Source organism: Homo sapiens, chromosome 8 (genome assembly GCF_000001405.40).
Source record: "Homo sapiens chromosome 8, GRCh38.p14 Primary Assembly".
NCBI lineage: Eukaryota > Metazoa > Chordata > Mammalia > Primates > Hominidae > Homo > Homo sapiens.
The window spans coordinates 16,211,003-16,223,661 of NC_000008.11; positions in this window are offsets into that span (position 1 = coordinate 16,211,003).

A 12,659-nucleotide genomic window follows, 5' to 3' on the forward strand; every position below is an offset into this window, starting at 1 on the left:
TGATTTAGAAATAAGACATTGAAAAGAATGCAATAATTAAATTTGAGATGGCTACTATGAGGATTCAGGAAAGGAATCATTAAAATATTAGGAGGAAAATAAGTTTTCAGAGATGCGGTGTTTGCTGTGAAAAAGTCACATATTGTAGTTCTGGAGTAAGCCAGGTAAATGTGGGTCTCTGATATTCACTAAAAACCTTTTCTTCAAAAAAAAGCCAATGTTTTCTGGATATATAAAAAAGTCACTAAATTATTTAATATTTCGTCACCATAGGATCTATAGTACATGTGAAAAAATATATTCGAAACAAAAAAAGTGAATTAGATATCTTGTTTAAAATTACACAATTTTGAAATAGATTCTGACTAAATAATCATTTGGTAATCTTTTGACACTAAAATTTTAGATGCTGAGAATAAGCTCAGCTGGAACTACTGAGTCTTCAAATTAGAAAATGTCATGTTAATAAATCAGAAAGTAAGAAAAAATGGTTATAATTATTATGAGGTAACATCTGTGTCAGGGTTGAAGCTAGTAAACTCTTATTCTAAAATAGAATATTCTCAGTATTTTATGTTTCTGTTGAGCTATCAGACACATATTTTTTGAAAACTTTTCTGAGTTGAACACAGAATCAAACTGTATCCAATTTTAACTCCTAACAAAAGACATGAATGTAGCTTGGAAGTATGAGAATATACTTTGGATTCTTAGATTTTAAAATAGAGAAATAAGATGTTTAAGGTAAGTATTTTAACGTTTAACCCAACCTCTGTTCTAGAGTTGAATTTTTTCCCTGCCATCCATTTTTTAATAATATTGATTCCTTCTGTTTGTTGTCTGATGAACGTAGTAATGTCAAGTCTTACAAGGATGGGTTGTAAATCCAACAAACTGAAAAACTGCTGACTTTGATCTGGGGAGCAATAAAGTTAATAGCTGTGTATTCTAAATTTGACATAATGGTGTGCATCACTATCAGAAATAAATATAAAGTTTCTTAAATCAGAGCGTGAGAAGTAACCAGATTTGGCCTGCACACCAATCTAAGCAGAGTCATAGATAGGGGAAGAACACAATTGTAGCATCCATAAATAAAAAATATATATAATACTGACATTATAACATACACATTTTACAATCTTTCCAGATGGGATAAGAACTGTTTAACAATGATTCTAAATACAGTGGCATGATTATCAGCATTGTTTAAGACATACAAACTTCAAATTTGGAATAATGAAAAAAGTGAAAACTTTTCATTATTCGACATAAAATAAATGGTCCTTCTCATGATTAGTTATCTTTACCCTCAACTCTTCTTTTTTTTTTTTTTTTTTTTTTTTACATGATCTTGCCATGTTTCAGGCCAGAGCGCAGTATTGCTATCTCTGCTCGCTGCAGTCTCAACCCCCAGGGCTCAAGTGATTCTCCCGCCTCAGCCTTCTAAACAGCTGGGACCACAGGCATGTTCCACCCAGTCCAGCTAATTTTTGTATTTTTTGTAGAGAGAGGGTCTCCGTATGTTTCCTAGCATGGCCTCAAATCCCTGGGCTCAAACGATCTACCCACCTTGGCCTCCCAAAGTGCTGGGATTAGAAGTGTGAGCCACTGCACCTGGCTCAACTACTCTTAAACGTAAGTAATCCAGCTGTCCTCTTGTTTCAATATCACATTTCAAGTACTCATTTAAGACTTAAAGGGTTGGAAACTTCTAAGCTGCTTCTTTTACATTTCACTGATGCCTTTCAAAAATTTGGGACAACTATGGGCAACTTACCTATATTTGCATGTGAATTCCTCTGATTTGGGAGGAACACTATTCATAAATAATTGTCATGCTGTGATTTTAAGAAACCACCACTCAAGTGTACACATTCTAGACATAAATGCATAAAGTTTTAAAACGTGGTCCTGTAATATTTCAGAGGATATATCTTCATTTAAAAATGTCTGACAGACAATATGGGACATAGATTAATAGTCAGTAGTTGGAATTGAGAATGAAAGAATTTGTCAGAAGTTTACCTAAGACCAATTAAAAATTATTTTACCTTTGTAGGCAGTCCTGCACTTGGTCTTTAAATTTTCTCCAAGTTTTGGTTCCTATTCTTCCTGACTATCCAGGAGACAAAGTTTTAACAATCAGAACTACTATGATCACTCACAGGTTCACCAAACTTTCCATTATCTTCTGCGGGGGCTGTCTTTCAAATCGCCAATTTTCATCAAACCTGTGATGTAAACTTTTGGTTTCTACTCCTGGGCTGCTGGGGCCAGTGAAAGACAGTGACATGCTACAGGGTCTGCACTACAAATTTATTATTTCCAATTTAATTGAGGCCCCTTAAGAGGCCAATCTCTTTACTTGTTATTTATCCCTTCAGTATCTAATCTAAGCTTTTTGGTAATCTCTTCAAGCTCCAATCAAACTTCACTTTTCCTTTACACTTAGCAAAATATCAAATTTCATGCCTTCCTGAGAAAAATGAGATTAAGAAACTTGACCTTCCTCCAGATACGGACTCAAAGATTACACACTTCCCTAGATATGCTTTCGTAAGCCTTGCCACTAATGCCAGAGGGTGACTTTATCCCTACAACTCCTGCTGTTCAGAGATAAATAACATATTCCCTTCTGTCCTGAATTCTACCGCTTTCTGTAGCCTCGTAAGTCTTTCCAATCAACTGTGCTCTTTCTTGATTTTTTTTTTCAATTTTCTACTTCTTCCAGCACCTTCTCCTTGGTTTATGAAAACGTCTTAATAAAAGTAAGCAAATAAATATTTTAAAATTAAAATTTCTTTAGTTGACATTCTCCTCATTCTATTTCACTCTTTTTTTGTTTTCATTCTTGCCACCACATGATTTCTCAATCAACTGCAATGTGCCTTCACCCTCATCATCAGAGAAAATGTTCTAAAGTCACCACTGAGCCTAAAATCACTCATTAAAAATTTCTCCTCCTTTAACTTCTGTTTCTGCTCCCATACCATTGAACTTTCTTTCTCAGCCAATTTCACTATCTATTTTTTGGTTTATGTTTTGCTTTACTTTTCACAAAATGCTGTCTGCCCATGCAAGTTCAGGGATTTCATGATTCTTAGAAGCACTTCTATAAAAGAGGCCCCAATTCATGTCTCTAGATCCAGAGTCCACACGCTACTTCGACAGTATAAGTCGAAATTCACATACACATTTTTTCTGGATATTTTCACCTTTCAATTTCCTGAAAGTATTTTAAATTTAACATTCACAAAATTTAGTTTAAGTAGTTCAAATATAAAATGGTGGAAAAAGTAATCTTTCTAAAATCAATGGAAAACAATTTCATAAAAAGATGACTCCACCTTTGACAAGAGAGCAATTGTAATTCCTAATTACAATCTCTAAAGATAGAATTGTCAATTTTAGTAAAATTTTTCCTTGGAGAGAAGGTACACACAAATATTAACTCAGAAAGTTACCCCAAAATAGACATCGTATCATGAGCTCCATCAGAATTCCCTCACTTGGAAAAAAGAATCCGGCTCAGTAGTTGTGCTGCTTGCCACACATTAGATCTTTATTTTGTATTACTAACTTGAAATGAGAGAAACAAAGAGGAATAATTTTTATGTAAAGCAGGCTGCTGGAATAGTATAGTGGAGACTATGGGACCAAAACTACAATATGAACAACACAGTCTCCTCGATCTTGCAAGGAATAAAAATAATAAACAATAATCTGAGCAACATAGCGAGTCCTGATTTCTACTGAATATAAAAAAAATTGCCAGGTGTGGTGATGTACACCTACAGTTCCACCTACCTGGGAGCCTGAGGCAGTAGGATTGCTTGAGCCCAGGAGTGGAAGGCTGCAGTGAGTCACGATCATGCCACTGCACTCCAGCCTAGGTGACAGAGAGAGACTTTCTCAATTAAAAAAATAAAATAAATAAAAAATAATGTGAGGGATCTGTTAGAGTGGTGGGAAAAACTACAGGGAAAGGATGCAAACCTGCTGAAAGGTGGGAAGGTTCTGCAGAGCCCTGGGGGAGAATAGCTGAAGGCGGCTGTTCTATAACCCTGAGGCAGAGGGCAAGGATTAGGAACAAGGCAGTATGGGGGGATTTATCTTAAACAGGCTTGTTTACTTATGTTGACCAGGAACTGACCTTTGAACATCCCGCGTGCGCATGAGACTCCCTGAAAGGGGAACAAGAAATGTTAATTACCTACAGGTTGTGTGGGCTCCAGGTTTTCAGCATTGTGCCTGCACTGAATAAAAGCAAGTTCTCCGGACTGCTGCTCTCTGGTCACTGGAGCCAGGCAGTCACCTAGTAGCTCTTACACTGCATACCTATGTCTGAGTACTCATTTCATCCATTGGCCAGGGTCTGTGGGACAGACCCGGCAAAATAAAAATAATTATAGTGCTGTGATTTGAATGTCTCCTCCAGAACTCACGTTGGAGTTTAATTGCCATTGCACCATGGTTAACAGGTGGAGCCTTTAAGAGGTGATATTAGATCACGAAGGCTCTATCCCCATGAATGAATTAATGCTGTTAGCATGGAAGTTTAGCGCCCCTTTTCTCTTTGTCTCTCACATGTTCTCTTGCCATGTGATACTTCTGCTTTGGAATGACCCTCGCCAGATGTCAGCACCATGGTCTTGGACTTCCCAGCTCCAGAACTGTGACCCAAATAAACTTCTATTGTTTATAAATTACCCAGTTTGTGATATTCTCTTACAGCCAAAAAAAAAAAAAAAAAAAAAGCACTAAGACACATGGAAAGACAGAGCTTTAGTTAAAGCCAAGGAGGTTTAGAAAAACTAGACTATTGCAAAGTGATACCTAAGGCTGATTGTTGTTAAATTTAGAGAACACAGAATGAAGCATATGAGATATAAAGGGCACTTCACTCTCCTGACCCCTTCTTAATGCCATCTTTTAAAAAATATTTAACAGGGATAGCATTGGGAGATATACCTAATGCTACATGACGAGTTAGTGGGTGCAGCGCACCAGCATGGCACATGTATACATATGTAACTAACCTGCACAATGTGCACATGTACCCTAAAACTTAAAGTATAATTAAAAAAAAAAAAATTAAAAAAAAAAAAAAGAAAATCCCCCATTCAATGATAAGTTATATCTGGAAGGGGTTCAACGTGGATGCATGTAAGTACTACAAGAAAAAGCACTGACAGAACCATGGAAACAAATGGCAGATGAATATGAAAAAAATTCATGAGAAAATGGGTGAATATTATGAATAAGCATTACTCCAACAAATCAAATAAATTAAAGAAAACCTGTTATCTGAAACAAAAGCTCAAATAAGAGACACAAAACCTCAAAGAAGAGAGTTATTTTAAACAACAAATAGTAATCTGCCATAAATCAGTGAGAAAATGATTTAAAAATCAAGCCTATTCTAGAAAAGAGGAGAAATATGAAGACATTCCACAGATAGCACAGTTAATCACAGGGAGAAGAATTTGGCCAAAATAAATGAGTGAAGAGCAGGGAGTTAAAACTACATACAACATAGAGATAATTAGTATCCCTAAGAAGTAAAACAATAGAACAAATCAAATGTCCAAAACATTCAGTCTTTTGAAACTAAAAATAGAAATCTATAATTTATAATGGTCATTTTGCAGAGGAAGTATTGAATAAACAATGAATGTCAATGAAGATCAATATAGTTAATTACTGGTCATGGTAATTAACTATAAAAGTAGCAATTCTATAGGATACCCAGTTGAAAAATCAAGTCACGTATTAAAGAAGGAAAAAGCAAATTTTCCACTTCCCCTTTAATGCTGAAATAACAGTAAAGCAATGTCTTCAGAGTCCTCAGTGAAATTACTGTGACTCAATGATTTTTTTAAATTTAATTTTATTATTATTATACTTTAAGTTTTAGGGTACATGTGCATGTACCCTAAAAGTATATAAAGAGTATATAAACAGATTTTTATACTCTTCCCAGTTGTTACTGGTTGTAAAGGAGATAGATATTTTCACAAACGCAGAAATTCAAGAACCCTGAGATATATGTATAATTAGAAAATACCTGCGCCCCCACAAAATGCCCTAAATGAAGGGGACATAAGGTAAAAGTTGTAAAATTTCTTATCAGTAAATAAAACAAATAAAAAAAACTATATCACTGACAACATAAATTCTACAAATCACTTATTTCTCTATTTGCCTTTACGGCCATGATAATTCTTTTTACTTTTTTTTAATTTTTTTTTTGAGATGGAGTCTCGCTCTGTCACCCAGGCTGAAGTGCAGTGGTGGGATCTTGGCTCGCTGCAAGCTCCGCCTCCTGGGTTCACGCCATTCTCCTGCTTCAGCCTCCCAACTAGCTGGGACTACAGGCACCCGCCACCACACCCGGCTCATTTTTTGTATTTTTAGTAGAGACGGGGTTTCACCGTGTTAGCCAGGATGGTCTCGATCTCCTGACCTCGTGATCTGCCCACCTCGGCCTCCCAAAGTGCTGGGATTACAGGCGTGAGCCACTGCGCCCGGCGTACAACCATAATACTTCTTTAAAAGCAGTCTTTATAGTCACACTCTAGTTTCTCTTATCATATACTTTTAAAAAACCCAGACTTATTAGATATAAATTACATACTAGAAAATTCCCGTTTTAAATATTTATCTGATTTTTAATAAATTTACTGTATTGCATAACTATCACCACAATCTAATTTTAGAACATTTCTGTTACCTCTCTGTAACTCTAACTGCTGGTTTACAGTTAATTCTCATTCCTACTCATTCCCAGCAACCAATAATCAATTTTCTGTCTCTATAAATTTGTCCTTTCTGGGTATTTTTTTTAACTTTTAAGTTCAGGGATACATGTGCAAGTTTGTTACACAGGTAAACTTGTGTCCTGGGGGTCTGTTGTACAGATCATTTCATCATCCATGTATCAAGCCTAATACCCCCTAGTTATTTTTCCTGATCCTCTCTCTCCTCTTATCCTCCACCCTCCAATGGTCCCCAGTGTGTGTTGTTTCCCTCTATGTGTCCATGTGCTCTCATTGTTTAGCTCCCACTTACAAGTGAGAATATGCGGTATTTGGTTTTCTGTTCCTGCATTAGTTTGCTAAGGATAATGTCCTCCAGCTCCATCCATGTGCTTGCAAACGACATGATCTTGTTCTTTTGTTAAGGCTGCATAGTATTCCATGATGTATATGTAACACATTTCCTTTATCCAGTCTATCATTAATGGGCATTTAGGTTGATTCCATGTCTTTGCTACTGGGAATAGTGTTGCAATGAACATGCGTGTCTGTATGTCTTTATAACTGAACAATTTATATTCCTTTCAGTATATACTCAGTAACGGAATCTTTGGGTTGAATGGTATTTCTGTCTTTAGGTCTTTCAGGAATTGCCACAGTGTCTTCTACAATGGTTTAACTAATTTATACTCCCACCAACAGTGTAAAAGCGTTAATTTTTCTCCAAAACCTTGCCAGCATCTGTTATTTTTTTACTTTTTAGTAATAGCCATTCTGACTGGTGCTAGATGGTATCTCATTATGGTTTTGATTTGTATTTCAAAAGATCAGTTTTTGATTTTGTATTTCAAAAGATCAGTTTTTGATATTGTATTTCCAAAGATCAGTTTCTGATTTTGTATTTCAAAAAATCAGTGATGTTGATCTTTTTTTTTGTATGACGTTGGCTACACATATGTCTTCTTTTGAGAAGTGTCTGTTCATGTCCTTTGTGCACTCCTTAATGGGGTTATTTGTTTTTTTCTTGCCTTTTTTTTTCCTGTTTAAATTCTTCATAGATGCTGGATATTAGACCTTTCTCAGATGCATAGTTTGCCAAATTTTTTCCCATTCTGTAGGTTGTCTGTTCACTCTGATGATAGTTTATTTTGCTGTGCAGAAGCTTCTTAGCTTAATTAGATCCCATTTGTCAATTTTTGCTTTTTTTGCAATTGGTTTTGGAATCTTCCTCATGAAATCTTTGACCATATCTATGTCCTAAAAGGTATTGCCTAGGTTTGTTTCTAGGTTTTTTATAGTTTTGAGTTTTACATTTAAGTCTTTAATCCATCTTGAGTTAATTTTTGTACATAATGTAAGAAAGGGGTCCAGTTTCAATTTTCTGCATATGGCTTGCCAGTTATCACAGCACCATTTATTTCCCCATTGCTAATTTTTGCCGGGTTTCTTGAAGACCAGATAGTTGTAGGTGTCTGGTCGTATTTCTGTGTTCTTTATTCTGTTCCATTGGTCTATGTGTCTGCTCTTATACCAGTACCATGCTGTTTTAGTTACTGTAGCCCTGTAGAATAGTTTAGGTAAGGTATTGTGATGTCTACATCTTTGTTCTTTTTGCTTAGAATTGCCTTGACTATTTGAGCTCTTTTTTGGTTCTATATAAATTTTAAAATGATTTTTTCTACTTCTGTGAAGAATGTCAATGGTAGTTTAAAGGGAATAACTTGAATCTATAAATTGCTTTGGGCAATATGGCCATTTTCACAATATTGATTTTTCCTATACATGAGCATGGAATGTTTTTCTATTTGTTTGTGTCATCTATCATTTATTTGAGCAGTGGTTTGTAGTTCTCCTTGTAGAAGTCCTTTATGTCCCTTCTTAGCTATGTTCCTAGGTATTTTGTTCTTTTTGTGGCAATTGTGAATGGGAGTTAATTCATCATTTGGATCTGAGCTTGACTGTTGTTGCTGAATAGGAATGCTAGTGAGTTTCTTACATTGATTTTGTATTCTGAGACTTTGCTGAAGTTGCTTATCAGCTTAAGAAGCTTTGGGGCTGAGTTGATGGGGTTTTCTAGATATAGGATTATGTCATCTGCAAACAAGGATAGTTTGACTTCCTCTCTCTTCCTGTTTGAATACCTTTATTTCTTTCTCTTGCTTGATTGCCCCGGCCAGAATTTCCGATACTGTGTTGAAAGGAGTGGTGAGAAATGGCATCTTTGTCTCATGCCTGTTTTCAAGGGGAATGCTTCCAGCTTTTGCCTATTCAGTATGATATTGGCTGTTGGTTTTTCACATATGGCTCTTTTCATTTTGAGGTATGTTCCTTCGATACCTAGTTTATTGAAAGTTTTTAACATGAAGGGATGTTGAATTTTATCAAAAGCCTTTTTTTGCATCCATTGAGATGATCAAGTGGTTTTTGTCATTACTTCTGTTATGTGATGGATCACTTTTAATAATTTCTGTATGTTGAACCAAACTTGCATCCCAGGGATGAAGCCTACTCGTTCATGGTGGATAAGATTTTTAGTGTGCTTTTGGATTGGGTTGCCAGTACTTAGTTGAGGATTTTTGCATTAATGTTCAGTAAGGATATTGGCCTGAAGTTGTCTGTTTTTCCTGGATCTCTGAAGTTGTCTTTTTTGTTGTATCTCTACCAGGTTTTGTTTAAGATGATGCTGGCCTCATAGAATGAGTTAGGAAGGAATCCCTCCTTTTCAACTTTTTGGAATAGTTTCAGTAGGAATGGTACCAGCTCTTCTTTGTACCTATGGTAGAATTCAGCGTGGAATCCATCTGGCTATGGGCCTTTTTTTGGCTGTTCAGGATTTCCATTTCTTCCTGGTTCTGCCTTGGGAGGGTATATGTATCCAGGAATTTATCCATTTCTTCTAGGTTTTCTAGTTTATGTGCATAGAAGTGTTTATAGTATTTTCTGACTGTCGGTTTGTATTTCTGTGGGGTAAGTGGTAATATCCCCTTTATCATTTCTGATTGTGTTTATTTGAATCTTCTCTCTTTTTATTAGGCTAGCTAGCAATGTATTTTGTTATCATTTTCTTTAAAAAAAATCAGCTCCTGAATTTGTTGATCCTTGGAATAGTTTTTCATGTCTCCATCTCCTTCAATTCAGCTCTGATTTTGGTTATTTGTTGTCTTCTGAAAGCTGTGGGTTTTGTTTGCTCTTGGTTCTCTAGTTCTTTTAGTTGTGAGGTTAGATTGTTAACTTGACATCTTTCTAGCTTTCTGATGTCGGCATTTAGTACTGTAAATTTTCCTCTTAACCCTGCCCTAGCTGTGTCCCAGAGATTCTGGTACATGCCAGCATCCAGGCATCAGAGAACCCAAGTTGACCAGGAGTGGAATGGTACCCAACACAGCAAAACTGCTCTATGAAATTGTGGCTAGATTGCTTCTTTCAGCAGGCCCCCAATCCCATTCCTCCTGACTGTGTGAGACCTCCCAACTTGGGTGTCCAGCCACCTCCTACAGGTATGTTCAGGCTGGCAACAGGTCCATACCCTGCTAAGATGGAGTTCCCAGAGGAAAGGGCAGGCTGCCATGTTTGCTGTTTCACAGGCTTCACTGGTGATGCTTCTAGGGACTGAAAAATCCAAGGCAACAAGGGTTCTGTCTTCTCATCAGTTTCAAATAACTTACTGATTTCTGCCTTAATTTCATCATTTACCCAAAAGTCATTGAGGAGTGGGTTGTTCAATTTCCACGTAGTTTTATGGTTTTGAGTGAATTTCTTATTCTTGAGTTCTAATTTGATTGTGCTGTGGTCTCAGAGACTGTTATGATTTCAGTTCTTTTGCAATTGCTTAGGACTGTTTTACTTCCAATTACATGATCAATTTTAGAGTATGTTCATGTAGCAATGAGAAGAATGTATATTTTGTTGTTTTGGGAGAAGAATTCTGTAAATACTTATTAGGTCCATATGCTCGAGAGCTGAATTCAGGTCCTGAATATCATTGGAAATTTTCTGTCTTGACGATCGGTCTAATATTGTCAGTGGGATGTTAAAGTCTTCCACTGTTACTATGTGGCAGCCTAAGTCTCTTTGAAGGTCTCTAAGGATTTGCCTTATAAGTCTGGGTGCTCCTGTGTTGAGCGCATATATATTTAGTATAGTTAGGTCTTCCTGTTGAATTGAACCCTTTACCATTATATAATGCCCTTCTTTGTCTTTCTTAATCTTTGTTGGCTTAATGTCTGTTTTGTCAGAAACTAGGAGTGCAATCCCTTTTTTTCTGTTTGCCATTTGCTTGGTAAATTTTCCTCCATCCCTTTATTTTGAGTCTGTATGTATCTCTGCATGTGAGATGAGTCTCCTGAAGACAGGATACCAATGGGTCTTGATTCTTTATCCAGCTTGCAACACTGTCTTTTAATTGGGGCTTTTAGCTCACTTACATTTAAGGTTAGTATTGATATGTGTGGATTTGATCCTGTCATCATGATGCTAGCTGGCTATTTGGAAGACTTGTACCTGTGGTTTCTTTGTAGTATCACTGGTCTGTGTACTTCAGTGTGTTTTCGTAGTGGTTGGTAATAATTTTTCCCTTCTATATTTAGTGTTTCCTTCAGGCGATTTTGTAAGGCAGCTCTGGTGGTGACAAATTCCCTCAGCATTTGCTTGTCTGAAAAAGATCTTATTTTTCCTTTTCTTATGGGCTTCCTTTCATAGGTGACCTGGGCTTTCTCTCTGGCTGCCCTTAACATTTTTTCTTCCGTTTTGATCCTGAAGAATTTGATGATTATGTGTCTTGAGGATGATCTTCTCATGGAGTATTTTACTGGGGTTCTCCACATTTCCTGAATTTGAATGTTGACCTGTACAGCTAGGTTATGGAAGTTCTTGATGATATCTTGAAATATGTTTTCCAAATTGATTCCATTCTCCTCACTTCTTTCACGTACCCCAGTCTGTTGTAGAGTTGGTCTCTTTACATAATTTCATATTTCTTGGAGGTTTTGTTCATTTCTTTTCGTTCTTTTTTCTATTTCTTTTTTCTCTATTCTTTCAATTCTTTCATTCTTTTTTCTCTATTCTTGTCTCTATTCTTGTCTGCCTGTCTTATTTCAGAAAGTCTTCAAGCTCTGAGATTCTTTCCTCTGCTTGGTCTATTCTGCTGTTGATACTTGTGATTGCATTGTGAAGTTCTTATAGTGCGTTTTTAAGCTCCATCAGGTCAGTTATGTTCTTCTCTATATTGGGTATTTTGGCTGTCAGCTTCTGCATTGCTTCATCATAATTTTTAGCTTCCTTGCATTGGGTTTAAATCATTGTGCTCTTTTAGCTCATCAAAGTTCATTTTTATCCACATTCTGAAGTCTATTTCTGTCATTACAGCCATCTTAGCCTCAGTCCAGTTCCAAACCCTTGCTGGGGAGGTGCCGCATCATTTGGAGGAAAGAAGGCACTCTACCTTTTTGAGTTTTTGGCATTTTTGTGTTCATTCTTTCTCATCTTTGTGAACTTATCTACCTTCAGTCTTTGAGGTTGCTTTCCTTTGGACAGCATTTTTTTTTTTTTCTTTTAACAGTCAGGCAACTTTACCATAGGGCTACTGTGGTTTGCTAGTGTTGCACTCCAGACACTATTTGCCTTGGATTTTCCAGTACCTAGAGGTATCACCAACGAAGCCTGTGAAACAGCAAAGATGGCAGCCTGCCTCCTTCTTTGGGAACTCCTTCCCAGCAAGGTATGGACCTGTTGCCAGCCCAAACACACCTGTAGGAGGTGGCTGGAGAGCCCAGTGGGGAGGTCTCACCCAGTTAGAAGAAATGGGATAGGGGTTCAGCAGAAAGAAGCAATCTAGCCACAATTTTGTAGAGCAACTCTGTTGTACTGGGTACTGCTCTGCCCTTGGTCAGATTGGGCTCT